The sequence below is a fragment of the Homo sapiens genome, chromosome 20, assembly GCF_000001405.40.
Source record: "Homo sapiens chromosome 20, GRCh38.p14 Primary Assembly".
In the NCBI taxonomy this organism is placed as follows: Eukaryota; Metazoa; Chordata; class Mammalia; order Primates; family Hominidae; genus Homo; species Homo sapiens.
This window is the reverse complement of record NC_000020.11, coordinates 57,682,571-57,709,278: the sequence shown is the minus strand read 5'-3', so window position 1 is coordinate 57,709,278 and position 26,708 is coordinate 57,682,571. Positions and strand designations below refer to the sequence as shown.

The window sequence follows — 26,708 nt, the reverse complement described above, 5'->3', positions numbered from 1 at the left end:
GCGCTGCGAGCCTGGCACGGCCCCCGCTGTCCGCGCCCCGCCCGCCCGGACTCGGACCCGGGGCTCAGCGGCGGCGCACGGCGCGGGAGGGTTGGGGCGGGCGGATCCGTGAAGTTTCCATTTTATTTCCCTGAGGGCAGTCGCGATGGAGCATTTAGGCCGGCTCTTTATCAACTTTGGGCGGGGGTGGAGGGGCGTGTGAGACACTGTCTGGTCTGCGAGGTGTCTGGGGCTCCGGGCGTGTGTCTGGAGTGTTCGCGGCGCTGTGTCTCGGGCTCTGAGTGGATGTCCGTGCGTCTGTGGAGTGTGCGTGGCTGCGTGGCTCTGTCTGGGTCTTCGGCGTCTCTCGGGGTGTCTGGGGGTCTGAGTCGCGGTCTTGCCCAAGAGTGCGTGTCACCGAGTCTTCCTGCCTCTCTCTGTGTGTCTTTCCCGTGTCCGGGCCGGGGTGCCTTTCTTGAGCGTGTCCATCTTTCTGGGGGTCTGGTCTGGTTGGGCCGGATCTGGGGACCGTGTGTGTCCAGGTGTCTGAATCCAGGGCTCAGCTCTGGCCCGTCTGGCCCAGCGTGGATCTTGAATGTGTGTGTGTCATTGTGCCAGTGTCTGTGTCCCCGACGCACCTATAAATAGCCTCTGTCTGGACAGCTTGGTTCAGTCTGGCTGAGACCATGGTTACAAAGGAGTCAAAGTTTGGGGCTGTTTGTGTTTGGGACTGCCTGGCCCTAAATAAGGGATCAGTGGACCAACGGTGGGGAGTGGGGTTTTGAACCTTGTCGCTAACGCAGCCGCCTGGGCACCCAAAAGTTCAGATAAGTAAGTCTCTACCTCCTGCACACACAGCCCACCTAGGTGGACATTTGGTTGAGTGGAGAATTGAACCACTACCTCCCGGGTTCTGGCTTCTAGCTTCTAGCCTACACCTTGTCCCCCAGCCCACCTTTTCGGGGACCTTTTGCTTCCCTGAGCTTTAGTTTCCCCATCCCCACCCTGAAGAAGCACGCCAGGTGAAGGGGCACACAGTCCTTCCCTGCTGGGGGCCAGGCTGCCCCTAGCTGGGGCCCGGAGCTGAGAAGCAGCCGCTGTGGAATGAAGGCAGTGTCTGGGCGGCTCATAAGCAAGTGTCCGCAGGCGGCTGCCAGTTTGTGGCCCCTGAGCCTATACAGTGAGCTTCAAGTGGTAAAAATAACCAGGCTGGCCGGGCTTTGGTGGTGGGTCCTTCCATCCATCCACCTCTCCACACTCCCTCCCAGCCTGGAATGGAAAGCTCTCCCCCTACCCCACCTTAGCTGGCCTGTGCCAGACTAGCGAGGTGCCAGGAGGACCTGCCCAGAGCCAGCGTTTGCGGAACCGACTTGCCTTCCCAGAGGCCCTTTGTGAACTCAGGAGGCTAATGAAATGCACGAGAATGTTATTAAAATACGTTCGCACACGTTTGGAGAGTCTTGCCTTAGATGGATTGCTGCTTCAGTGCCCTCCTTGCCTCACTTTTTGCCTTTCGCTCTGTAAAGCTGCCTTGAGGACCTCCTGCTCGAGGGGCACACATCCTTGTGTCACCCTTATTCCAAGGGCTGGGCACAGTGCATCATTTTGCTCTTGTCTCTCTTTATGGTTCAGGACTTAAAAAAAAAAAAAAAAAGCATTGTTCTTATTTCTGTCCTTTCTTAGGCTCATCAGTCCATGATGTTTTTGACCTGACATCAAGGCCTCTTGTTAAATGCCTTGCCGCCGCCCTCTGCACTTTGCCCCGCCGCCGCCAGCAGCCTTTGAGTGATTGGGACCCTTGGGGTTAATACCTGGAACCCTAGCCTGTTCCAGCTGGCCCCTGGGTGCCCCAGTTAGTCCTGTGTTCTGTGTATACACAGCCCCCTACTTATTGGAAGAAAGCTGCAAGGCACGGAGGGAACCAACCAGTCTTTAAAATGCAGGTATACTGTAACAGTTTGTTTTCATCAGATTTCCCCGAGAGACTAGGGTGAGGAAGTGGTAAGGCCTGGTGTCTCCTGGAGTTTCTTTACACCAAAAGATAGGAAGGAAGGAGGGAAGGAAAAAAGAAAGGAAAAAAGCTAGTATTTGGTTTTTCTTTTAACTAGTAGTGGCTGCTGTTTTTCATCTAGTACATGCTGGGAGTTGTTTGCAACGAGAACTTGATGGATGGTTTGGAGTTGGGCTTTGAGGCAGTGTCCAAGTGGCTCCTATCCTGTAAGATACCTTCTTTTGGCAGAAGGAAATTGACCTTGCTAGGTCCTTAAGCCATGATGGGCCTCACTGTCTTCATCTGAAGAATGAGGCCGTGATGGATGAAATCTAGAATTCTATAGTCTTTCAAGATAGGGCCTCTCCCCTGCTGAGCCTGGCTGGAGGTCTTCAGGCTGGACCGGGCTTCCCACCCACTGCTGGTTCCCCTGTGTGGTCTTCAGCTACCCCAAATTTCAGACCTGAGAGGAGCCTACGCAAGCTCGGGGTTCACATCCCTGACTTACAGATGAGGAAAGTCCACCGTGGAAAGTTTTGCCCGAGGTCCAAAACCCACACCAGCCCCAGGCCAGGGTGGTTTCTCTTGGACTGCACGCCCACACCTCTTGAATTTGGTACTTGGGCCCCAGAGCAGGTCCTCCTTGAAATTGGGGGCTGGGGGAAATTGTCAGAGCCCCTTTGTACGCCGGGAGCCACGTCTGCTCTCAGGATGCTGAATGGAGTGGGCTTGACTGTAACAGGACACTCCTGGGGCCCCATTTTTTCTGAGAGTCGAGGGATGAGGCTGCTGTCTGGTGGGAATTCAGTGTTCCCAAAACATACCCGTGGGAAAACCCTTTCTTTTAAAAAGCCAAGGGTCCTGGGATTAAAAGCAGGCAGCACGAGTGACAGCCTTGCAGATGTCAGCCTGGAGCTTGAAGCGGCTACTTTTGAGGAAAGGACTCCTGGCACCTGGTTTTCCTGGCAACCTCATCTACCTCATTTCAGTTCTGCTGCGTCTCAGAGATTACCCCCGGTCTTTCTCCTCTGGTTATTGCCTCAAACTTCTGGGGCCCAGATGGATGCTAAGTTCGCTCTCGGGAAAGACTGAACCTGGGGCCACCCGGTGTCTGCTCACGCGGGAGGCGTTTCCTGAGAGTTCTGGGAGGTGCCCCTGCCCTGGGCCCATCTCTGGTGGTATCTACGGTGGCAGCTGTCTTTTTAACATCACCCACTGGCCAGAGTCACCGAGCCTCTGATTCTTCTTCTCCAACCTTTTCCAAACAAATATGAGAAAATATCAGAAACTCACAGGACACCCAGGTTTCCCTGGGCTTGCCTGGCACATGCTGTTTGACACTTGCTTGAATCAAGTGAGGGTGTAGAGACAGTGCCTTGGCACTGTGACATTCTGAGCCCGGTAATTCTTTGTTGGGGGGCAGGAAAGGCCGTCCTGTGCTCTGTAAGGTGTTACCAGCACCCCTCTCCCACACCCACTAGATACCAGCACCCCTCTCCCAGGTTTGACAGCCAGAAATGTCTCCAGACATGGTCAAATGCCCCCTACTGAGACCACTGTTTAATCAGTTAGTGGTTTCTCCTAAGGGGCTTGAGGGCCAGAGGGCAGCATCTGCGTTGCCAGGAGACCCTTAATTCCCGTCAGACGTTCGTCCCTGTGAAGGCCTGTGGCCACTCCGCAGCCACTCATCCACTCAGCTTTTACTGAGTGCCTGTTGTGTGCCATGAAGGAAAGATAGGGGCTTCCTCTTGAGATGAAGTTTTCCCGTTTTCGTCTTGGATTTGCTTTTCTAAGGAGAGACCCTGGCGTTAGTGAAAGCTGATGTTTTGGATTGGGGTTAAAATACAGATGTCCAACACCAGCTGTTCTCCCCTGTGGACCCGCTAAACCCTGGGACTTTTCACCCACAGGTTTTCTGACTGTCTGGGTTTTAGGTTGTGGTGCAATAGGGGAGTTATTAAGGGAGTTGAGTTCTATGACCCGAATCTTAGGTCAGACAGTTGGCCTCAGCTTCCCAGGAGGTCTGGGTTAAGCCAGCTACACTGCCCAGTGTGACCCAGGGTCGAGGTGAGTTTAGCATTTGTCAAAGCACAAAATAACTAATTGTTCCTGTACAAACACACACGCGCCTGTGAGTGGGTGCTTGCATGCGCACACGTGCAGACACACACACGCGCACACACAGTCATACACAGGCACACACAGCTTCTACCCCATCTGTCTTTCCTGCCCTCTTCTCTTTGGGTTGGGAATGGTTAAAACTTCTGGGCATGTAAGAAGAAAAGGAGGAAGAGTGCACATTCTCCCCTGTAAGAGGTGCGAAGGTATGCACCCTCTCCATAAAAGAAGGAAGGTGGACCCCTGTGTGCCGCTGCCCAGGAGAAGGGAGGCCGTCGGGAGGTCTGTGGAGGCTGGAAGCGTCTACAGCAGAGTTGCCTCCCTCAGGAGCCCCAAGGAAGCCTCCATGCTGCAAGATGCACCCGCCACCAAATTGCCCCAGAGCCACGGGGTCAGGTGTGCCCACATGCCTGCCCCCACCATCTCCACTCCCATCGTGGCCCAGGGCCAGGGGGTTTAAACGTTTATAGTCCGGTCAATAGTTTAAAAGCCAGAAAATGTTTGGAGGAAGGTGCTGGTGGCAGGGTCCAAACCTGAGGATCGGTGTGGCCTTCTCTCTTCAGGTGTTAGCATCCAGAGACCAAGTTTGCAGGCACCTCGGTGTCTGGGATCCTGCCCAAAGAGAAGGAACTCTTACACGGTGAATTTCGGAGGCTGTGCTGCTGCCAGCCTCGGGTTCTGTACGGTGCACATGCTGAGAGAAGGAGATTGAAGCCGAGGGCCCATTTTTTGCTTTTTACAAAGTGTTGCGTAACGCACGCATGGTTGGGGCACGTGCGGGAGCTGTGCGGGAGACGGACCTACTCTTCATGCACCCTCTGGAGTGACAAGGATGGTACCATGCTGTGCCAGGGGCTCCCCGAGGCTGGGGGAGCATGGTTCAGGGAAGCAAACTCAGTTGTCTTTGGGGTGGGCTCCAGGGAACCAGGGGCAAGAGTCCAGTTTAAAGGCACTGTGGCCACTGCTCAGCCCACCATTGCCACATGGGCCCTGAGTGGCCAGATCTTTCCGTTCCAGGGCAGCCGAATGGTTAGATTTTGACATAAAACTCCTGGGTTTTAAGTGCTGGCAGTTCCTTTTGTCTCCCCTGTCACCAAGAAGCCCCACAGAACCTGCTGGCAGACCCCATCTGTCTCATCAAGTGACCTGCCCTGCTGTGGGTGGGTTAGGAGTGAGACCGAGGGCCAGAGGGATGGAGGCGTCAAAACTTGCTGGCCGTGTCCCCTTTGTGCCCCCCTTCACTGTCATCTGATGGGTCTGTAAAGTGGGGTGATAATAGTCCCTGTGCTGAGGGTGCAGAGAGATTCTGGCTGTGTGTGGCCTAGTGTCTGGAGCAGCTGTGTGTTCATAGAGGTGAGCGATGATGGTGGGGCGGATTGGACTCGATGGTCCATTCTGCCTGGTTCCCTAGCGGTCACTCTGTAACAGAGTGCCTAGTGATGAGAAGGCCTTCACCAGAAAAAGGTTGCCCATCCTCGGACTGGCTGGGAAGGTTGGAATCAACAGGCCCATCTGGGGCCCATGGCCTTGAACATGGAGGTAATTGACTATCTGTGTAATACTCCTTGTCCTTGCCAGGCCCACCGCAGACCTGGCTGGCAACGACCCCAGCATGCCCGTTGCTGGCCCAAGAGGCCCCAGACGGTCTCTTCGGGTCTGCCAGCAGGGTTCCCTTAATCCACTGCCAGGCTTGGTGGACAGAGGCTGGAAGAGGGGGTACAAGGCAAGGCACAAAACTGGGGCCGTGAGGTCAACACCGCCCTGACGTCCAGATGCCCCACTGGCTGCAGTTCCTAAGACAGCCTAACCTGGGAGCAGAAAGCCCAGAAGCTTCTGATGGTTTGGGGCTCCCCTTTGTGAGAATCAATTGAAATTTTTAACAGGTGATCATATGTGGGGGCAAACCATTAAAAGAAAGGCCCTGATGTCCCCCACCCCCATCAACAGGTGCAGCGGGGGAGGGCCGGGGAGGGGCCGGTCTTCAGTTTCACTTCTGCTCCAAGCACTCCTTCCTGCCTTCTCCCCAGGGTGGGCTGCACCCCTCTGTGAAGCTGTGACAGTGCCGAGTACTGACAGTCAACCTCATTTTCCCGTTGGATGACACTACAAAGCCAAACCTTGACACCTCAGGGGTCTCGTCAGGGTCTTGTCAGGCAGGCACTGGCAGAACTGTTTGTCACCAAACCGGGAAAAATCCCAGAATGACTTACCAGCCAGGGCAGGGGCTTCAGCACCCTGGGGTGAGCCTGGAAGAGCTTGGGGCATCCCCAGACTATCCGAGAGCCACAGAATGGCTTCTCTTTTCTGTTCCTGGGTTACTGATGGATTTTTTTGCTTCTGCTCTTTTTCCTAGTTGAATGTGAAGAGATTATTATGTGCCAGGTATTAGTGACGCATTTTTCTCAGTGTTCAAAACAACCCTGAGAGAGCTATTGCACCAATCTGCGGATACAAAAATGGGATCAGAGAGTGTAAGATACTTGCTCGAGGTCACACAGCCAGGAACTGATGCTCCATTGGGATTCAAACGCAAGCTCCCTGACCTTGCAGTCCACACTCCCAGGCTTTCTTTTCCACTACACCGACCTCCTGAGCTCCAGGGCTTTCTTTGCAAGATTGGCCATTGCAGTGCTATTTTAGGCTCCCAAGACTGCAAGCCCATATTGGACCATTTGTTAGGGAAGAACACATACGAATTGGCCACCTCTCAGAGCAATTGGGTCCATTCTGCTCTGGCAAGACACCGGCTGACATTCATTGGAAATGTCTCCCCAAAACACACGTGCCTTGTCAGGCTGCATGAGGAGCTGGTGTCTCTGTCTCCAGCTCTCTGTGCATCTCTGACATACCAGCACCAACAGATGTCGTGGCGGGGGTTTGGGGAGTAGCTGGGGAATGTTCCCAGGGAATCAAATGTAGACTTGATAGGGGACATCACTAGACACAGCCTCCGCAGGGGCTCAGCGTTCAGCACCATCTGCCACACACCTCTGACCTCCGGTGCTGTTCCCAGGGCCGCAGAACGTCAGGGAACGACACAGACAAATTCCTGCCCTCTACGAGCTGCTGCCCTTGTAGGGAGACAGGTGAAAGAACACGAGTCATTTCAGAAGGGAAGCTGAGAGGCCACACTCAGAGGCACCTTCAGGGCCTCGCCTAGGGAGACCCCCAGCCTGGTGTCCTGTTTGGGGCCCAGGAGCACCCTGGCCTTCCTCCTGTCACACCTGTCATGGCAGTAATCGAATCTTTGTGTCATTAGCTGTGCCATGTCTGCTTTCCCTCCAGGCACCAAGCACCGAGGGGTTGTTGTTGGTTGTGTCCCTGAACCTGGTAGGAGTCTCATGTGCGTTGGATGAAGGGAGGAAGTGGGCAGGTGAACTTTCAAGAGATTCCAGATTCTTGTGGTCAAGATACAGGCTTTGAAGACCTTCATTCTGGGGGTGAGCGTGGTATCCTCCCGAGTCTCCAGTTGACCCTCTGTGAGGTGGAAGGAAGAATGACATCTGTTCTATGGGGTTGTCAGGACCGTTACCTGAAAAGCACCTCTGGTACAAAATGTGATTTTTAATGCTCCAAAGTTTCCACTATTGGGGGCAGGAAACTGTGCCCGAGTTTCATACCTGCCCTCTCTTCTAGAGCTAAGGGGCAGGTACAGAAGTCAATGCAGACCCACCTCCCCTGCACCCGCTCCAGTTGCCCTGGGTGGTCAAGGTTTCACAGTGATGGCTTTAGTCCTCCAAAGGCCATCAAATGGCAAAAACGCATTGCCAGAGCTTGCTGCAGGCCCCCAGAAGGAGAATTCCTAGGGTGATTCTTCTTGGCACACACTTGCTGCAGACTGGGAGTGTTTTGGGGTTATTGTCCTCACGGAGGAAGGTGGAGTTTGCTCAGAGGTGATGTTGAGATGCCATATGCTGGACCGAGCTAAGCAGCTATTGTGACTCAACTTCGGCGGTATCAGGTGGTGATCAGCTATTCCTAATGCTCCAGCACATTCTAATATGTACCTGTTGTTAATGGGAATGGGGGTAGGAAGAAAGGTGGCTTGGAATCAGTGCCTGCCATAAACTAATAAGGATGTCAGAAAGATTCGAACTATAGTCTGATTTTCTTCTCTTTTTTTTTTTGATGTCTTCTTTTTTCTTTTCTTTTCTTTTTTTTTGAAATGGAGTCTTGCTCTGTCACCCAGGCTGGAGTGCAGTGGTGCGATCTCAGCTCACTGCAACCTCTACCTCCCGGGTTCAAGTGATTCTCCTGCCTCAGTCTCCCAAGTAGCTGGGACTACAGGCATGAGTCATCACACCTGGCTAGTTTTTTTGTATTTTTAGTAGAGACAGGGTTTTGCCATGTTGGCCAGGCTGGTCTCAAACTCCTGACCTCCGGTGATCTGCCCGCCTCAGCCTCCCAAAGTGCTGAGATTACAGGTGTGAGCTACCATGCCCGGCTCCTTTTTTGATGTCTTTTAACTAAAATCATTTGTTATTGTTTCAGTGGGCTTGGGAAATGGCTCTACTGGCAGAAAAGAGAATTTTATTTAGTAACAAGTTGAAAATCCCCAGTGGCTCTGGGATCTGGATGGTGGATAAAGGTTGATTGTGACCTCCACGAACCAACTCTTCACCATCAGCAAGAAACACCTCGCAATCCTCCTTAGCAGTGGTGCTAGACTCCCCTTGGGCTGGACGGCCACAGCTAGAACCACCTAACAGCCATGCAGGTTCGAGATGCCACTTTGCCTTTTAAGTCTTAAGAAACTGTCCTATATCATTTGCCCCCACTATAGGCTTTTGGGGCTTCAGGGGAGGTGGCTGTGCCAAGTGCTTATTTGTGTTGATAAAAGTTGCACGATCTTGGCACCAAATAGATCAATAAACATTTTGACAGTTGGTGGAAGTGGAGTTATTGTGTACCTCAGTTTCCCTGTTCCCCCGAACATGTTCGGTAAAGCATGGGCCTGTGGAGGGGTCTGTCAGTGGCAGCTGTCAGCCTCTATTGTCATTGACAGGTTGTCATGGATTCCCAGTATGCAAGTCGCATCAGCATCAGGAGTGGAAGAGTCTCTGCTGGTCCTTAAGGTCTCCAGGAGGGGCCAGTTCCATCACTGGCTTTGGGAGCATGAAAGTGACAAATCCAGCCATGAATTTGCCTGAGTGTCAGTGGTTAAGAATACAAAAAGGTGTGTTTTTATATTTAGAGCCACGTATCTTCAAGTATATACAATATACATTTGTATTTTATGTATGATATATGTAAAACGCGGACTGTCGAAACATGTGCGTTCCAACCGCCGAGGCCGGGAGGCTTCTCTGAGGTCCCTTGTTGGAGTCCACCACGGACATCCCACCTCCCACAGGTGTGTCACAGGGTGAGCTCAGGTGAGCCTGACCTTCTCCCAGCTTTGCCCCGGGTTCCCCCAGGCAGGTGAAATCAGATTTTCCAGGCCATGTCCTCGGCAGCAAGAGAAGTAGGAAGCTGAATCGGTTTTTCAGAAATTTTGAGCAATGCAAACTGCTCTTTCCCCCAGGAGGTTTTCAGCACCAGTGGTCTCAGTTGCCTAGTTACCCCTCTGCTCATCTAGACCAAATCCCGAGAGACTGCCCTGCACCCCACACGCCTTGCTTGGCCTGTGGGGCAGTCCTGGCACCTGGTAGTTGCACAGGGAGAGAGACTGTGGCGGGGTCCTGGGGCTCTTTAACATAGCTCAGCCGCTTTCTAGATGTGGAGTCTTTGGTCAGCTCCTTACTCTCCCTGATCTTGGCTGACTGATTTATAAACTAGGATTTATAATTACTGCACGGAGGTGATTAAACAAATTGTCTTTTAAGCACCTATCACAGGGCTAATTCCTAGTAGATGCTCAATAAATGGCCACGAGAGTGTTGGTGCCGATGGTAAGTAGGGATTGGTGGTAAGCAGGATGGCTGCCCGAGAGTGTGAGCTGGGCGGAGCTCAGGTTGGCTCCTTCTTGCATCAAGCTGCCCACTAGGCTTGCACATCCTTGATGTGGGCAACACCCACAGACTGCACAAGCTGTCCCATAAGGTTCAGATGCCCAGACAACAAGATTCGGTTCGAGCCCTGTGGGGTGATGCATTCCAGAGACCACACTTCCTTTAGGGAGGCTCAGAATTTGCATGGGGCCACAGCAAACGCCTTTCTTCATTCCCCTGAGTTATACAGCAGGTAGCAGAGCTTCAATCTGAAACACCTCGTGGATGTCAGTTGAGAGATGGCGTGAGAGTTTGGTTGTGGTCAGTGATGTGCTTCAGACTCCCAGAGAAGGGAGACTCTCAATGTCCTCTTATGGCTGCTACATTTAAGGAATAAAAAATAAAAGTTAATACAGAGACTTGCCAAGTCTGTGTGTGTGTGTGTGCCTCTATATGTACGTGCTGACTTCTTAGGATTTCTGCAAGGTCCGGAACAGCTTTCCAGAAGAAGGTGGAAAGTGAAGCCGGGGAGCTTTGCACAGGTCTGGGAACCCTGCAGGAACTTGGTGCCCGCCGCGCCAGTTCCGCAGATTCCCCTCACCGGGCTGAGCTGATGTCTGTAGCTGGCCAGAGTTCTAATTGCCTTCCTAAAAACAATTTAGTTGGTAATAATTCTGTAAATGTCTGAATCAACTTTGCGCAAACACCCTGAGTAATTTCTTTGTTCTTTTCTTTCTACTTTGTAATTGGTGTCTGTAAAAGCCAAAGGTTTGGTCTTGCGGAAGGCATGATTCATTTATTGGTGTCTATGCCTCCTCGTTATTGAGTCATTTCAGATGCCATCACGGTGAGCCAGGGCTGATTCATATGGGGCTGAGCTTAGAAGCCAATAGGGTCACGGCCATAGGAGGAAGCTGGTTTTCTAATCTGTTTATGATATGGGAAAAAGAGGCGGGTGTATTGAGATGATGGAGAGGGTGTCAATTACATGGGTGAATATAACCAATGAAATAACACCAACCAGCCTTTAAACACCACTCCATTTGCTGCTGTTGATCGTTAGGATAGATCGCAGCTCAATGCACTCCTATCTCGGGTGTATCTCTCCCTGTGTTTATGGATCTTGATCTCTGAGCAGGCTGACACGGGAGGGATGCCCCCACCCCAGACCTGGAGAGACGTTTCAAGTCATAAGCCACAGATGCAGAGAATGTTGCCTCTTTAAAAAATGTATCAGCTGGACCTACCATGAAACAAATGTTTAAATGTTTAGGCTCACGTGTAAGGGAGCCTCTGCCCCATTCCCTACTCATTTCTCTAACAATGACAATTATTAGATGTTTGCGGTTGTTCGTTCTTTGCATTATTCTCCAAACTGTGTGAACTTACACATGGTGCCACTTATTTTGCCTAATTTTATTAGTTGCTTTGGCCCTAAATTGTCACTGTCCTCCCGTCTAGAGGGTAATCAGAGTTGTTTGCCACATGGCCCAGAGGTGTAATTATGAGTCCAAATTCCAACTGTCCGTATAAATCTAGGCTCTGCCTGCAAGGGGAATATTTCTTCCTGCAGTGCTTTCCTCTGGTTGGTTCCCCATCTGCATAGCTGCACTGCATCCTCCACTCTGCATCGGGGAACAAGGGTCTCTCTCAGGTCGTTTTCAATATCCAGCTCCTAGCTTAGGGCCAAGTGCAAAGCGTGTCATTGGTGTCTGTCTAGCTGCTGGTTGGATGGCTGTGAGAAAGTTCACTGGAGGAGAAATTTGCCAGTAACCCTGTAGAATCCAGCCAGTATTTATTGAGCTGCCTAGTGACTTCCAAAGTATAGATGAGGGATGTTGAGTGCATGGCATTCCATCCAGTGTCCCCTACTTGCTGCCCATAACAGACATTGCTAATCAATTGCACCCTCCATCCTTGCTGCACTCAGATCCTCACCGAGGTGGTACTCCCAGTGTCTGCTCCCAGTCGGGGTTCAGAGAGGGCTTGAGTGATGACACTTGTTGACCATCGGGTTGTGGATGATCCTTATGGGGAAAACTGGAAGTTGTGCAGACAAATGGCTGACTGAAAGACTAGTGGGGCTGCAGAAATCCTGGTGCATGCAGCCACCAGGACCAACTCCCATCTGCTCCTCCTTGTCACCCTGTGTGAGTCCCAAGGCAGTTCCTTCCATGAGTTCTAAGGACGTTCCCCATCTGTAGATGGCCCAGCCCCACACTTCAGCTACCATGTAGCGGGAACTCCCACACTTCAGTGAAGCAGCATCCAAGGGTGACTCCAAGAGCAAGCCTCCCCGAAGAGCATGGCTGCCCGGAGTAAGCATTACTCCTTGGTTCCTTGACAATATGTCATTTTCCTTTTTTAAAAATCAGGGGTGTAAACGGAAATGTGCACAGAGGCCTCCATTTTCTCTTGCCAGCCTCTCTCCACAGAAATCTTGAGCTCTGCTCTGAGCGCTTCGCGGCATTCCCTTTCACTCTAGTGAGAATGAGCTCTGGATCCTTTTCCCAGAATAGACTCAGAGCGGAGTTGAGGGTGGGGTTCAGGAACAAAGACAAGAAAGGGGAGAATCTGGGAGGCAGTCAGTATTTAGGGAATGAACCCAACACCCAACAGCTTTGTCTCCTTGTTTTTCTGGGTTCTTGCCGGTGACGTCGCGGCTTTTTGAACCCTAGCAATTCCTACTGACAGTGGCAGGTGCTCACTGAGCTCTTTGCACACCCTGTCTCACTAATCCTCATGGCAACCCCATCGCATGGAGGAGGTGGAGCTAAGTCACCTGCCAGGGATTGCCCAGCACACCGCAGAGCAGGATTTGAACTTGGGCTGCAGTGTCTTGGCACAGGGTGGGAGGGAGAGTCACAGAGAAGCGGGACCCTTTGCCAGCCCATGGTTGAAGGGGAAAGTTCTAGACACAAGGTTTTCCTGGCATTCCTGGAGCCCCAGGGGCGCCCAGGCTCATACCTCTTTCTTCCTGAAGCCTGTGCCTCATTTGTCTAGGCAGGGACGAGCCCACCTTCCCCTGAGCCTCAGAACCGCCTGTCACTTGGTTTAAGGGATGGGCTGGTTGGGGGCCTCTGCTCCTTCCTCCTCCTCCCATCCTCCACACACTTCCCTCCTTGGAAGGGTGCCAGCAGCGATCCCTGGGGCTCAGAGCAGGAGGGAGCAGAAATTGTCGGTAACAGGTTGCAGCTGAAGGGAGAAAGTGGTCCCTGTGACCAGTGAGGTGCTTGGGCAGGATCTGAGCTCCCCAGGAGGGGTGAGGAGAGAGTCCAGAGAACATCTGGACTGGAGGGACCCTCTCTAGCCTTCTTCAAAATGCAGTGGTTCTCAGTCCTGGCCACACATTAACACCACCTGAGGGGCTGTGGCAGCACCCCAGACCCACTACCTCTGGGATGGGGCCGGGCCATCTGGGTTTCCTAAAGCTCCCCAGGTAATTCCAGGGTGTGGCAGAGTTAAGCCCGCTAAGCTGCCCTCAGCCCCAAGCTTGCAGATGGGTAAGTTGAGGTCTGGTGAGGGGGAGGAGGAAACTCAGGCCACTTTTCAGCCACAAAATCCTTCTGGTGCTAATCAGAGGAGTACTGCTAGGCCAGGCCCAGTGGCTCACACCTGTAATTCTAGTAGTTTGGGAGATGGGTTTTCACCATGTTGGCCAGACTGGTCTCGAACTTCTGATCTCAATTGATCTTCCTGCTTCAGCCTCCCAAAGATTACAGGCGTGAGCCGCTGCGCCGGGCCAGGCCTGCAGTTTTAAGCAGGGCAGACGGATTGTGAAAGGGCCAAGCTGGGCTGGAGGTCCGATTCTCTAGCGGTGAAATGCCAGGTGCTTCAGCGGGGAAAACATTTTGTAACCTGAATCTGGGCCCGTAACGGGTACCAGAGACCTGGGTGTCTGTCCCAGCCCCAGCCAGGGGGCCCAGGATAGTGGCAGAGCCTTGGAGACTGGACAGACTCCAGCAGCTCTGGGGCTGGGTTGGCCCATCAGCCGCTGTTGCCAGCCCCGCTGGGCTCCAGCCCAGAGCCACCGCCTGCCCGCCTCACCTGGCCTGCATTCCTTTGCAGGGAATGAGGATGTGGGTGACCCCAGACAGGTATGAATCATGTCTTGGGGAGGTGGTTACTCAGAGGCGGCAAACGCCGAGGCTGCCTTCCTCCCAGACAGCGTGGACCTCAGTGTGGAGCTTCGTGTCCTGGGCTTGGGGCATGGCTGCTGAGGTGGGTGTTTGAAGGGCCTCATTGGAGTGAGATGGGCTGACAGGCAGTGGTCCCTCTCCCCTTGACTCTAGCATGCTCTGAAGAAGAAGAAGAAAAGAGCAGTGTGGCTGTGGCACCGGGATACCAGGTCACAGTCATGGCAGCCTCACTTACCGGCTTTGTGGCTCTCAGGCCTATTTTTCATCTAGAGATAGAAGTGCTGGGAAGCAGTCCTGACTTCCTCCTGTTGTGAGGGCAGCATGGACCCCCCTCCCCTTATTTCCTGAATGCCTACCATGTGCCAGGCACAGCACCACATGCAGCCCTGCAAGAGCTACTAGACTTGTCTTACATGGCGCTACATGCAACCCTCCAAGAGCTACTAGACCTGTTTTACAGATAAATAGACTGAGGCTCAGAGGGCAGAAGTCAATTGCCCAAGGGTGCATGACTCGTAATTGGCCCCACTGGATGTCCAGCCCACTGCACCCATCTGTGTCCTAGCCACCCTCCCATGTCAGTTCCAAGAAATCTATAAACCCGAAGCAAACGGTAGCACATGAGAAAACTGGAGATGGCACGTGGATGGTCATTTAAAATTTAATAGTTCCGTACTCATGTGAATGTATGTTAGGAAAAATATAACAAGCACATTGTCGATTTCGTGAGTATTATTGCTTAAGATCGGGTTAAGTAATAAGTAAACCAATTGAATATTTTATTTCAGTTGAAAAGAAAAATACTGAAGAATTTTAATGCCTTTAATGGGGTACTTGAGTATGGCAAAAATCGGGAAGGCTGAGAGTGTCATTTGGGAGCTGTGTCCCAAGTCCCTCGTGGGCCTTTAATCAGCAGTTACAGATCTGCAGCTCCTCCTGTAGGATGGAAGCACTTTGCTCTTTGGCCTTTTGAGGTCACCCAGCTATTTGAAGGTCAGGGGCAACTCGATTCTAATGAGATCAAGGTCACAGGGTCATGTTGCCCCCAGGAAAGTGGGAGATGGAGTTCTGTGGTCCAGGCTGTGGCCCTGCTGCAGGGCTGGGAGGTGGAGAGGTGTGGACAGAGAAGGACCTCCCATCCTCACCGGCAGAGAAAGCTCAGAGATGCTCCCAGCTGGTGATGAGGCTCCAGCCTGAATCTCAGCCTGCTGCTGATGATGGAGAAGCCAGCACTTCACTGAGTACTTCCTTGGTGCCCCGTCACCACCCAACACCTCCTCACAAGGCTTGCAGAAGAGCCTGCTGAGACTCAGAGTGTCTGTATCCTGCCCCAGGTCGCAGCTGTGTGGCATCCTGATCTCTGTGTATTTTAACCAAGATCTCGATGTTCCCTTTTTGTAATGGAAAAAAAAAATCTCCTTAATTTAATTGTTCTGTGATGTCTGAAATGGGTGGATATTCTGCAGAATAGGTCTGTGACTTATTATTTAGCCTCCTCATGTACCTTTTTAGCTCTGGGGAGAAAGACAATTGGAAGCAAGTGAAGAAAAGGGCTCAGGTGTGTCCCAGCCCCAGGCCTTGCAGTTACACCTGCCACCTGCTGGCCGCCACCGTCTGCTGGCCCCCACCTTCGACTTTTACTGCTAGGAAAAGTCCCGGGGCGGGGAGGTGTTGGGGAAGTTCTGCCGCCTGTCTGGCTTGTGGTTTGGCAGACCTTCCTGGATGCAGGTCTCGGATCCTGGGCTTGAGTCTCATCCTACAAGAACTAGGGGGAAAGGTCGAGGAGGCAGCTCCTGAGCCCACTGGCTCTGACTTGTGTGGGGCAGGGAGGGCACTTGGCACTCTGGGCCTGGTCTCTCTGCTCATCCTGTGGGCCTGCCTCCTACCTGACTACCTGTCTAGGAATTTTTATGGCAGCCCGCAGAGGTACTGCAGGTCGGCTGGAATGTGAGATCCTGGCCCTGGGAGGCGTGGGGTAGGCGGGCTTCAGACACAGCTCCTGGCTGCTGGGCAGGAACGCAGAGCGAGGCGGCCACTCCCGGCCTGCTCACAACATAAGCGTGAACATCGTGGTTTTGCCACTTCGGGACTTGGCTGAGTTTTGCCACGTTTCCTTATGCCCTGATTCTGCCAGGTTAATTCTGATTAGGTTTCGGTTTGACCACTGCCTGGGACACCTTGACCCACAGCAGGGATTGAGATAAACAGTTGATTATCATGAGTTGTGAAAGATGGAAAATAGTCCTATTACCAGCAGCACTTAGGCAGCCCCCTGCTCCCTGAGACATTGCTGAGTGCTGTCCTGTAGAACAGAACCCTCCCACTTAGCCTGGCCTGGATCTCTGCCTTTTCTTTCCACAATGAAGAGTATCCAGGCAAGAGGAGGTGGACGGAGGTTCCTCAGGCTCCAGGTGACCATGGCTTCCACAAGCCGCCCTGCCAGTGGCACCCGGCTGGCATGGGGTGGGACAGCCACTTGGCCTCCTCTGCATCTGGCAGCCTCAGCCCTCGAGGAATTGAATCCTCCTGGGGCCAAAAGTGGCCGTGCTCGTGACCCGCCAGCTGCAGGCCAGGTACAGACCTGGGCCCTTGGAAGGAGCAGTGGCCTGGCAGGGAGGGGCTTCAGGGGGACCGGGCTCAGGAGTACTGGGCATCCTGGTCATGAGGTGGGAGCTTCGCTCCCCTGTCTGGGCCGCCCTGTGAGTTCCTGCCACCAGCCCTGACAGACCATTGCTCACCTGCCCCCATGACTCTTCCCACACCTGGTGGGCTGTGCCTTGGTGCTTGCAGCTGCCCAAGTCCAGGGGAGGCCACACCCCATCCATAGGGAGTGAGTGGTCACCACGTAAGAGTGTCCTCGGGGTTGCGTCTCCTCTATGAGCCTCTGTTTCTTCATCTGTAAAATGGGGATTGTAATAGGCACCCACTACACAGGGGGCATCGTAAGAATTAAATGAGACAGTTTGTGGCAAGGGCTCAGCTCAGTCCTGGGTGCTTTGTAAATGCTCGAGAAACAAAGCCTGTTCTGTTTGTAAGACGTAGCCAGTATTGGAGGAGTGGTGGCTCCGTAAGCCCCGGGACCTACCCGTGAAAAGGGAGAAGAGGGTGATGGGATGTGAAAAGTTGGGAGGCTCGTCGGGGAAGGAGATGTGAGAATGAGGCCTGCAGTGTGAGTAGGAGTTCTGCCCAGGGGGAGGTTTCAGGAAGCAGCCCGTCCCAGGCACACCCAGGGTTCTGTTTCCCCTCTCTGCAGATGGAGGTAGTTGTTCAAGACCACACAGCGGGGGTGGCTTTGGAACGAGGGCTGCGGGCACCAGTGAGGTGGGTCTGAGCTCCTCTGTGAGCATGAAATGGACAGTCTGGACCGGGAGATGGTGCACCCAGCCTTAGCTCGCAGCTTCTTCCTCTGAGAGGGGTGAGAGTGAGGGTGAGGGTCCTGCCTCCCCTGTCCTATTCCCACCTCTGCTGCAACCTGTGTAACCCTCAACAGCAGAGTAATGATTTTCTTCGGGGGAAAACGTTCTCCCTACCCCATCCCTGAGGAAGCAGGAAAGGAGTTTTGGGGAGTAGGAGCTGGCATCAGCTCAGGGGAGAGGAGCGGTGCCAGTGGTGCCTGTCCCTGGGGCTGCTATAGCCTGGACACCTTCGCCCTCCTAGACCAGCCCAGAGACTGTGATTCAACTCTCAGTCAGTCTGGGGCCTTGACTGGTCCTCGGTCTGTTCCTCCTCTTTCAGAGCCTGCACAAGAACCCCTAGCGCAGCCCCTCTGCTGGAGGGACCTTCGGAAGAGTTGGGGAGAAGGAGGCTCCCCTCATGCCATGTTAATGGGAGGGGACACCAGAAGGCTGGGTGGCATTTGCCATTTTGCACAATTAGGAACCTCGCTAATGGGTAATTTTACTCAATATTTCACGCCATTCATGAACTCATCTGACACATTCATTGAGCACCTACTGTGTGGTGGGCCTAGTGTTTTGGACACACACAACCGTGAAAAAGACAGGCCAGCTCCTAGTGTGGCAGACTGGAAATCGGCCAGAAAACCAATGACTGTAGAACAGCTTTTCAGAAGTCCCGTAGGAAAAGACCGAGGGGCCGGTAGGGACGAGGAGGAGGCACCAGGACCAGCTTTCTCTAACCCTGCTTCTCTGGTAGCCTTGTAAGCGGGATCCCCAGGCCTCGGGGTGTAGAGGCATCAGCGTTTATCAGGCGCAGTAGTTCTTTCCTCGGATGTGAGCTGAAATGGGGCGAGTGCAGGAACCTGCATGCTCACACATTTTCTCCCAGGAGGTGCAAGTTCCAGAACCCCCGGCTCCTGGATCCTCACCAACTGGTGGGTGAGGAGTAGACGGCCAGGCTCCACCCCAGACTTCCGGCAGGTGGGGGTCGGCTGGGCGTGTCACTTACAAAACTCAGAAGAAGCCAGATCTTCATCTGCACCGAGTGTTTCCCAGGACAGAGCCCAAGCAGGAGAAGCGCAGGCTGGGGTGCGCGCCTGCTCTCCAGGCCCCTGCCACCTGTTTGCACATGACCCTCTACACCCGCCATAGCAATGGAGACCCCGCCTCCTGCTACAGTTAATTAATCCTTCTTTTTTGCTTCACAATAAAAATAGCATGGCTCTTCTGATTGTAAAAAGTGATATACACTCCTTATTTAACGAAAAATTCAAAGAATTTGATAAATGACAGGCGAAAAGTCAAAATGCCTGCAATTCCAGCACATGGAGGTAAGTTTCTTCTCTGGGGATATTCTCAGGAGCATTTGCATGTGTAGCGCTGATGCAGGGCGGGTGGCAGTGGTGGGGGTGGGTGCAGGCACTGGGCCCGGCCCCCCCGGGTGGTCTGTGCCCCAAGCCGCTGCCCAGCGTCTCTTCGCTAAGAGGTGAGGTCAGAGGCTTGCTTGGGAACCTCTCTGGCCTCCCTGTCAGCCCAGCTGGCAGAGGCAGGGAGGGTTCCACATGGAGGCCCCCAGGCTGAAAGCCAGGCAGGTGGGAAGGTTAGATCTGGCTGGCTCTGCCTTCACCCAAGAGCCTCGTCCTCCTTATCCATAAAATGGGGTGACACCGACAGTTCCTAGCTCGTGGAGCTGAGGTGAGGAGTGCATCGGGTGTTGGGAGAAGCTCAGCAAATGCCTCGCACACAGTAAGTGCCCCATGGACCTCGGCTGCTGCCGGGCGATGCAGCCACTGGCCCCTGGGACCCACGTCAGCCCCAGCAGCGCCGTGTCTGTGTCCCTCCGATATATAGAGCTGCTGAATCAGACTTTGATTCACAATCAAAGGCTTCTGTGGTCAAACACGTCTGAAAGGCCACAGCCTCTCTTTTTACGACAGGTCCCTGAGACCCAGAGAGGGTGAGTAGGAGGCAGGAGCATCTCCCCATGGCCCTGGGAGGCAGATTCAGGGCGGCCCCTGGGTCCCCTTGTCCCCGGAGCTGGGAATGTACTTGAAGCTTCTAAGCTGATCATCATGAGAAACAGCTATTTATGTGGGCACAGTTGTGAGGACTCTCCTTGAACTAGTTCCTTTAGCGACGGGCAAAGAGGATTCCCCGAGTTTCATTTGGAGACTGTCCCATCTTGGCACTGACCTAGGTCCGATTCCCGGTGCTGGGTCCGATGCTGGACTCCCCAGGAGGAACGGGGTGGTGTCTGTTGCCACAGAGGTGGACCAGGCCAGAGTCACCCCTCACCTCGCCCCACTCCCCAGCCGACCTTTCTGCCTGGGAAGGCCAGGCCTCTGTCCTGGTCACACAATACCCCCTTCTCACGTTCAGACTGGCGGTCTAGACACTCATGCTCCCTTTGTTCCGAAGGGTCAGGAGTTGGGGGAGGGCCCCAGAAAGTGGGATTTGGGCCGAGATAGAAGAGAGGGGGTGGGTAGTGGGTGAGGGGAAACTGGCTTCAAAGGAGGCGGCCAGTTCTCCCTCCGCCTGCCCAGCGAGTGACCAGCCCTACCAACAAAACGTGCACCAATTTCTAATGATAGAGGCAGCTCCCAAACAGAAACGCGTTTTGAAACCCAATCAAGCTGACGCCCACTCGGGCCCATGCGCCCAGAGCTGTTTAGCTGACACCGTCTAAATAAAACCCCACAGCCTGTGCCAATAAGTCTGGGGCGGGCTGCCAGCGGGGATCGAAGGCCCAGAGGCAGCGCTCAGCCAGGTCTGAGCCAAAGAAACCCCTGGGGAAAGATGCAGAATTCCCACCCCCACCCGCTCAGGGAATGCTCACCATGCCTGGGTGCCTCGTAAAGGGGAGGACAGGCGGGAACATCCCCGAAGCCACCTTGTCCTCATGGCCGTTAGTGACAAGAAGCTCCAAGTACTGACCCAGGAGAGAGGCAGAATCTCCAGTTTGATTCCCTGGCTCTAGGCTTAGTGTTTGCCTATCCAAGGCCTGTACCTCTTTTAGCCTCGGTCGCCTCATCTGTCAAATGGGAATGTGAGCATTTGCCGTGATTCCTTAGGGAGAATGAATGTGAGGCTCTGCCTGGCACAAAGTTCCCTGCCTGGCAGAGTGAGGTCGACCACTGGGTGCTGAGGATGATGATGTGGTAGTCATTCAGCCCTTGCTGCCTGCCGTTCTTTGTGGCTTCCTGATACTCTAACTCTGGGGTTCTCAACTGCCCCCTAGGGACATTGGCAGTGTCTGGAGACTTTTTGGTTGTCACAACCTGGGGCATGGAGGAAGTGCCTACCCCGTAGGCGTCTAGTAGGTAGAGGCCAGGGATGCAACTCAACAGCCTGCCATGCCCAGAACAGCCCACCCCACAAAGAAGTGTCTCCTTCCTAAGGTCAGGCAGGTGGAGGTTGAGGAACCCTGATTTAACTCAATCCAGGCCCCAGACACCCCCCTCTCCAACTTGCTCCCTGCATAATTACTCACATGAGGCTAAATAGAAAGTAGTTGCACTGACCTGAGGAGGAAAACGGAGAAATCTTGGAATGGGGAGAAACACCCAGGTGCCTACTCCCCTGGGGAATTCAAAGCTGGTGGAGGCTGAGCTGAGGCCGTCCCGAGGCGGAGGCTGAGCTGAGGCCGTCCCGAGATGAGGGCAGAGGTAGCAGAGAGGCCTGAACCACCCGGCCTGACCTTATGGTGCTCACAGTGAGAGGGGAAGAGGGAAAGACACTGAACCCAGGGTGGATCCAATGTCAGGGCCCGATCTAGATGCAGGTTCAGACTTACTTCCCTGGACAGGGAACCCATAGACTAGAGAGAGCTCATGGCTCAGGAGCCCTGCTGGGGGCCCTTGTGGGCTGGAAATGAGTTTGGGCAAGCTTGGGTCAGCTTGGAGTTGAGAAGGGCAGGCTGAGCAGGGCCCTGTAGCACAGGTGCAGAGGCTGGACATTGCTGTGGATATTTCTGGTGACTCCTGGAGCCCAGCTGTGTCAGTTGCTCCCCAAATGCCCCTGATCTTGTCCTGCTGGATTTCTCATCTTTCTTCTGAGTATTTTATCCTTTCTTTTCAGGTCAACCACCCCATGACTATGTTTGGGGAAGAGTTGGCCAAAAAAGTTGTATTTGCCTGATGGATAGAGCCTTCCTGGTGCAGTGGGGAGAGGAAGCTCCTGGAGGCAGGGCTGGGCTCTTTGAGAAGGAGTGTGGCAATTGATTAGTAATGTCAGTCGTGGTTGCCAGACCAGGGAGTGGCTGTAGGTATGTGTAGGGGAAGTCACACATGCAAAAAGCACCTGGGTTCTTTCCTGACCTGGTTGGGTTGCTCTGGGCAAGTCATGTCCCCTCTGGCCTTGGGGTCCCTCTGTTAAATGGCAGGGCTGAGTCAGTGGCTTCTGGGTCACTTCACTGATGTGCTATCTTGCGGAGCCTTGGACCAGCCCCAGGCACAGGTGCCCCAGGCACAGGAGATCACCTGGAGAAGAAGGAAGTCGCTCAGTTGAACCCCTTAACGGAAAAAGAACATTGCTCCACATCTTGAACTCATTCCTCCGCGTTGGCAGATCGGTTCTAGAACCTACACATCCACGTCTGGGGCAGAACCAGAGGCTGTGCCCACAGACGGCAGAGCTTGTGGGCTGCTTGCTGCAAGAGGAGCGAAGATTAGGAACAGTCGTTTAAAAGCAATTATTAAAAATGAGAGTGCGGAAACCAAAAACAGAAATGGGGGAAAACTCTGCAGTCCTCTGACATAGCCCATCACCCTTTTGGGAGGCTGCTGTAAGGAGCAGCTGGAGAAGTCCTCTGGGTGTATCTCCCTGGTGCACTGTCCTTCCCACGGGATTAGTGTAGACAGCTGTTTTTGGTGGGGATCCTAAGCCTGACCATGGTTTTGTTTGTGGGGTGTTCACTGCGGGTCCAGCACTGAGCTCCACTCTTTGGTGTGCACTGTCATCTCCTCTTCATTGCATGGGATTGAGGCAGGTACTTCTGGTCACTCCATCTCACAGGTGAGGGCCTTGAGGCCCAGAGAGGGGGAAGGAGCCTGCCCAGGGCCTCGCTGTTGAAAGAGGCCGGTGGATGCCGTGTTAGTGGCTGGTTAGTGGGTTTAATGCACAAGGGCATTTAATCCTCACAACAGCTCTTTAGGACAGGTGGTTGAGACCCCATTTCACAGCAGGGTAAACTGAGGCTCAGGGAGGTGACTTCCCTTGGACCACACAGCCTGAAGGTGGTGGAGATGGGCTTTGTCTGGTTCCAGCGTCTGGGCTTTACAACATTTGAGAGAGAAAAAGGAAGGAAGGGAGGACAGGAAGGAAAGACAGAGGAAGGAGAGCAGACCAGTCTCATATAGAAGCTGCCATGAGCAGGGCAGGCATGGAAAGGAAGTGACCGCTTGGCCGGCACCCCATCAGAGAAAGGTCGCTGGAGTGAATGAGCCCTCACTGGGCATCTGGCAGGCAGCAGGTCTTTCTCTAGATTGGAAGCTGACAGTCCCAGGGGAAGAAACTAGTTCCCCCATTTAGGAGAACCACCCCTGTCCGGCTGCCCCGGAGTGTAACCTGAAGGAGAGGTCAGCGCACGGCTTGTGTTGAGGCTCTGGGAGCTCCTGGATGCTGTTCTTCCTCCCTTGGAACCTTGGCTGCATGGAGGCCCACTCCCCAGTTTAGAGGGTGTTTGGGTGTCACCCTGAGTGTGTCCCCGGGCCACACCCTTGCAGCCAGCCCACCTCCAACCCTGTCTTTCTTTCCTGGGAAGGGAGGGTGACTCATTTTATAGTGACCCTTTGTATGAGAAGGGCTAAAATGCAAAGTTGGAGGTGAGACCAGATTCCTCTCCTCTTGGTTCTGGTCCACCCGGAGCAGGTGGAAACAAGTTCTCCCCCATGCATTTTCATGTAACCTTTTTTTGCCACACGCCCCCTTTAAGTGAACAGTGCTACAACAAAATTGCTGCTACTAGGTGTTAGAGACATCTTAGCAGGCGCCTTCCCAGAACAAGAAGAGCCAGAATTATTTGCTGGGCGGCCACGTACAGTCCTATTTTAAGAGCGACCTGGAGGGCAGCCCAATCACAGATGATGGTTTCTAGTTCTCTGGAGCAGCCAGCCCCCTCCCCCCAGCCAGTCCACCAGCAGACCCCAAACCAGACCGATAACTTAGCATTTTCATTTAAGTCCATCTGACAAATCGTTTTAGGCCGAGAAAGCAATACTGCATCTTTAAATGGCTACTTTGTCAGCGCGTCTCTGTGCGCTGTAAAAAGTCCTTTGTTATCTGTGTCTAGACAGCACGCCAGCGGAATATTTGGTCTGCGTGAGGGGAGAGAGATCTGACAAGGTTGAATTCATTTACCGGCTTATTTAAAGCGGGATTTCAAAACACTTGCTCATAAACTGTTTTCGGCCCAGACTCCCCGGCCTCCTCCTAGCCCACACTGGCTTTTCTTGCTTTTATAATTTTTCACCTGCTCGGGCAGTTAGCTGGAGGTTGCAGCCGGGTGGGTACCCTGGCGAGGAGAGTGACTGCGGCTTGCAGCTTTTTTCTTTTTTTAATTGTCCTCTTTATGACTGTCTAGACGTTCTGCAGATGCACGTTCTCGGGGGAAATGGCTTTTCCCTCTGGTTACAGTACTTGGGAGGGTTGCAGACGGCACCCCCTCCAACCGTTTGACCACCCAGCCCCCTTTCTAAAACCCCTCAGCCATTCTTCCTCTCCTTAAATGAAGGCACTTTGCCTCCTGGCAGCATCTTTGTGTTTATAACACATTTACTTGACTGTGCTAATTTTATACCATCATCGAAAAAGGAAAAGTGACATTCCAGGTTTTCTTCTCTCTGAGGGGTGGGCAGAGACCCCCCCCTCCCAGCTCCTCCCCACAACTTCCCCCATTTCTTCTTACAGCTCCTCCTTTTGTGGCAATGTTTTGTTTTGTGGCATGCCTACATGCCTAGACAAATAAAACACCAGAGGTTGGCTTCTTAAGGATGAAAATATCAGGGCTAGTTGAATGCGTCCGAGGTTTTAGTTCTGCCAAATAGATGCATTAATTAACCTCATTGCCATAGCGACTAGGTCATTGTTACCGCAGTGAAAAACTGGCAAGCTATGGGGGTGGAGGGTCTCCCGGGCCCCCCAATCACCCATCACCCGCCCAACAGGAACCGGTGCAGAGGCCAAATAGGCATCGTCCTGCCAGCAACCAGAAAGTGGTCCCACTTTGGCTCCTTCAGACTCTGCAGTGGGTGGTGGGGGCGGTTCTCAGAGCCCCCCTCCTTCTTAGGCAGCTACACAGCCCAGTGGACTTGGGAAATTCAGTTGACTTCCAGGCCCGCTACATGTTCAGGTCAGGAGGGAAGCAGGCTTCCGAGTTCCCTTCTGGAGCGAGGGCTGCGGGGTGGAGAGAAGTCACCCTGCCCCCCTCCCAGCTAGACCCCTAACTCCCCGACCCCCACCCGTGAAAACTATTGTCATTACCATTGACCTGCTGCAAAGCCATAAATTTCCACCCGCCTCCCCTCCCGCAGTCATCAATCTGCCCTCCGGTTTTTACTTGGTAGGGGGCACAAAAGCTGGGGAGGGGGAGTCAGGCGTGGGCAGCTGACCAGATGTCTCCTGGGATCCCTAAACTGCGTCTCATTTCTGCCAGATGAAGCGAGTCTAACCTATCAGCCTACTTGACTGCGGTGTTGCGGAGCCGGGGGTGGGGCGTGGTGGGACATTTCGTCTGCAGGAGATAGAGAAGGACATCCCATAACACTCCAGGTTTCTTGGCCAGATCTTTTTATTTCTACCCCCAAAACAGACAGCCCACAGGCAGGAGTGGTCTGTTGAGCAGCTACTCCCATTGTGCCCCGCATGGGTTTATGATGGACTTTGTGCAGGTGGCTGGACAGTGTGCTTCGGAGGCCGAGAACTCCAAGAACTCTGAGAGCTGCTGGGCTCTAGTCCTTCCCTCTTGGTGGCAGCCTGGAAGCCTGTAAATTTCCCCGCGGAGTGGGGAAGTGGGGTGACTGTGCTTGTAATATTTCAAGTTATACAGTCATTCGGGGGTTCTTTCTGCTCTCTCATAATTACAGCATCTTTAAGAAGAAATATCAACATGAAGTATTTTCAGGGGAAGAGACTTTTAAAAGAAACACACACACACACACACACACACACACACGCACACAGGCCAGAACACCACCACCGAGTTAGTATAGTAATGCAAGTTCGTAATGCATGCAGGGCTGCTCGCTCCAGGAAGCTCCCAAGCAGGAATGTTCCTGAAGGATGGGCTATTAAATATTGGATCCTCAGGCTGGCAGATGCGTCTGCGCTGTAATTGGGTCTTTCCTGGAGTAATTAAAGGAAAATGATTATATTAACCCAAGTCACCAGGCCAGCATGGCATAGAGAACTGAATGGCAACAGTATTGATGTTTCCCTCCAAAAACTGGCCTCTCTCAGCACATCAAAAACGCACCCTTGGCTTGAGTTTAGGGAGCTTTCCTTTCTTTGCACTTTTTATAATTGATCGCGTGTCTCCTGGCCTTCTTTTTCTTTTTAAAAAGCAGTGGGGGATATCCGTGCCCTCTAACGTGAGCAGCCTCTACCTGCTCAGGGAGATCTGAGCTTAAGGACAAGTGTGGCGTAAATGCCCCCGGAGACTGCGGCGTGAGAGATGACATTGAAAAAGGTCTGGCTTTTAGAGCTCAAACCTGGGAGGCTTGGACTCTTTTTTCTTCTTCTTCTCCTTTTCTGAAGAGTTGGAGAAGCCGGAGTTTCAAGACCGTCTTGGTGTGCTGCCTTATTTAGGAGGCGAGCTGCTGCTCATTTGTCAGGCAAAACAGATGTGGTGGGGAGACAACATCTATTTTCATAATTCGAAACAAATCTGGCGAGCCGCCTTCCTTTTCAGCGGGGCCTGCTCATGCAGAAAGCCCAGCTCCCAGGCAGCATCTAGCAGAAATATTTATAGCTCATCCATTGAACTTTCCTTCCTCCAGGAGGAGTTGGTTTCTGCTGGCGATGGGGACACAGACTTGACAGGGAGTGGGTGCTGTTTCAGGGATTTTTTTTAAATCAAAAACTGGAGGAGTGTGGGTCACAGCCAGCGACGCAGCTGTGCCTCTCCTTCTCGTGTCCTTTCGTCTTCCAGGTGTGGGGC

General features: G+C 53.3%; 1 protein-coding gene across 5 annotated transcripts in view, besides 5 other annotated features; it reads left to right on the top strand.

The window, feature by feature from the left end:
- Positions 1-26,708, top strand: part of PMEPA1 (prostate transmembrane protein, androgen induced 1) — a 63,077-nt gene that overhangs the window by 2,194 nt on the left and 34,175 nt on the right. The window contains exon 1 of one of the 5 annotated variants that reach the window (NM_001255976.2): positions 18,593-18,885. The exons of the other annotated variants lie outside the window; for them this stretch is intronic. Within the exon in view, the coding sequence (NP_001242905.1) occupies positions 18,861-18,885 (25 nt within the window). The 5' untranslated portion in view covers positions 18,593-18,860. Of the gene's footprint in view, positions 1-18,592; positions 18,886-26,708 lie in introns of those variants that run through there. 5 annotated transcript variants of the gene reach the window in all.
- Positions 271-882: an enhancer, noted in NCBI's record as "H3K27ac hESC enhancer chr20:56283453-56284064 (GRCh37/hg19 assembly coordinates)". NCBI's record gives its function as "activates a minimal SCP1, AML or CMV promoter by ChIP-STARR-seq in naive H9 embryonic stem cells {active_cell/tissue: H9 hESC(naive)}" and the evidence as "EXISTENCE:reporter gene assay evidence [ECO:0000049][PMID:30033119]".
- Positions 3,973-4,567: an enhancer, noted in NCBI's record as "H3K4me1 hESC enhancer chr20:56279768-56280362 (GRCh37/hg19 assembly coordinates)". NCBI's record gives its function as "activates a minimal SCP1, AML or CMV promoter by ChIP-STARR-seq in naive H9 embryonic stem cells {active_cell/tissue: H9 hESC(naive)}" and the evidence as "EXISTENCE:reporter gene assay evidence [ECO:0000049][PMID:30033119]".
- Positions 10,352-11,551: an enhancer, noted in NCBI's record as "P300/CBP strongly-dependent group 1 enhancer chr20:56272784-56273983 (GRCh37/hg19 assembly coordinates)". NCBI's record gives its function as "activates an origin of replication core promoter dependent on BRD2, BRD4, P300/CBP, MED14 and CDK7 cofactors, with strong dependence on P300/CBP, by STARR-seq in HCT116 cells {active_cell/tissue: HCT116}" and the evidence as "EXISTENCE:reporter gene assay evidence [ECO:0000049][PMID:35650434]".
- Positions 12,432-12,964: an enhancer, noted in NCBI's record as "H3K4me1 hESC enhancer chr20:56271371-56271903 (GRCh37/hg19 assembly coordinates)". NCBI's record gives its function as "activates a minimal SCP1, AML or CMV promoter by ChIP-STARR-seq in primed H9 embryonic stem cells {active_cell/tissue: H9 hESC(primed)}" and the evidence as "EXISTENCE:reporter gene assay evidence [ECO:0000049][PMID:30033119]".
- Positions 15,653-16,472: an enhancer, noted in NCBI's record as "H3K4me1 hESC enhancer chr20:56267863-56268682 (GRCh37/hg19 assembly coordinates)". NCBI's record gives its function as "activates a minimal SCP1, AML or CMV promoter by ChIP-STARR-seq in naive and primed H9 embryonic stem cells {active_cell/tissue: H9 hESC(naive and primed)}" and the evidence as "EXISTENCE:reporter gene assay evidence [ECO:0000049][PMID:30033119]".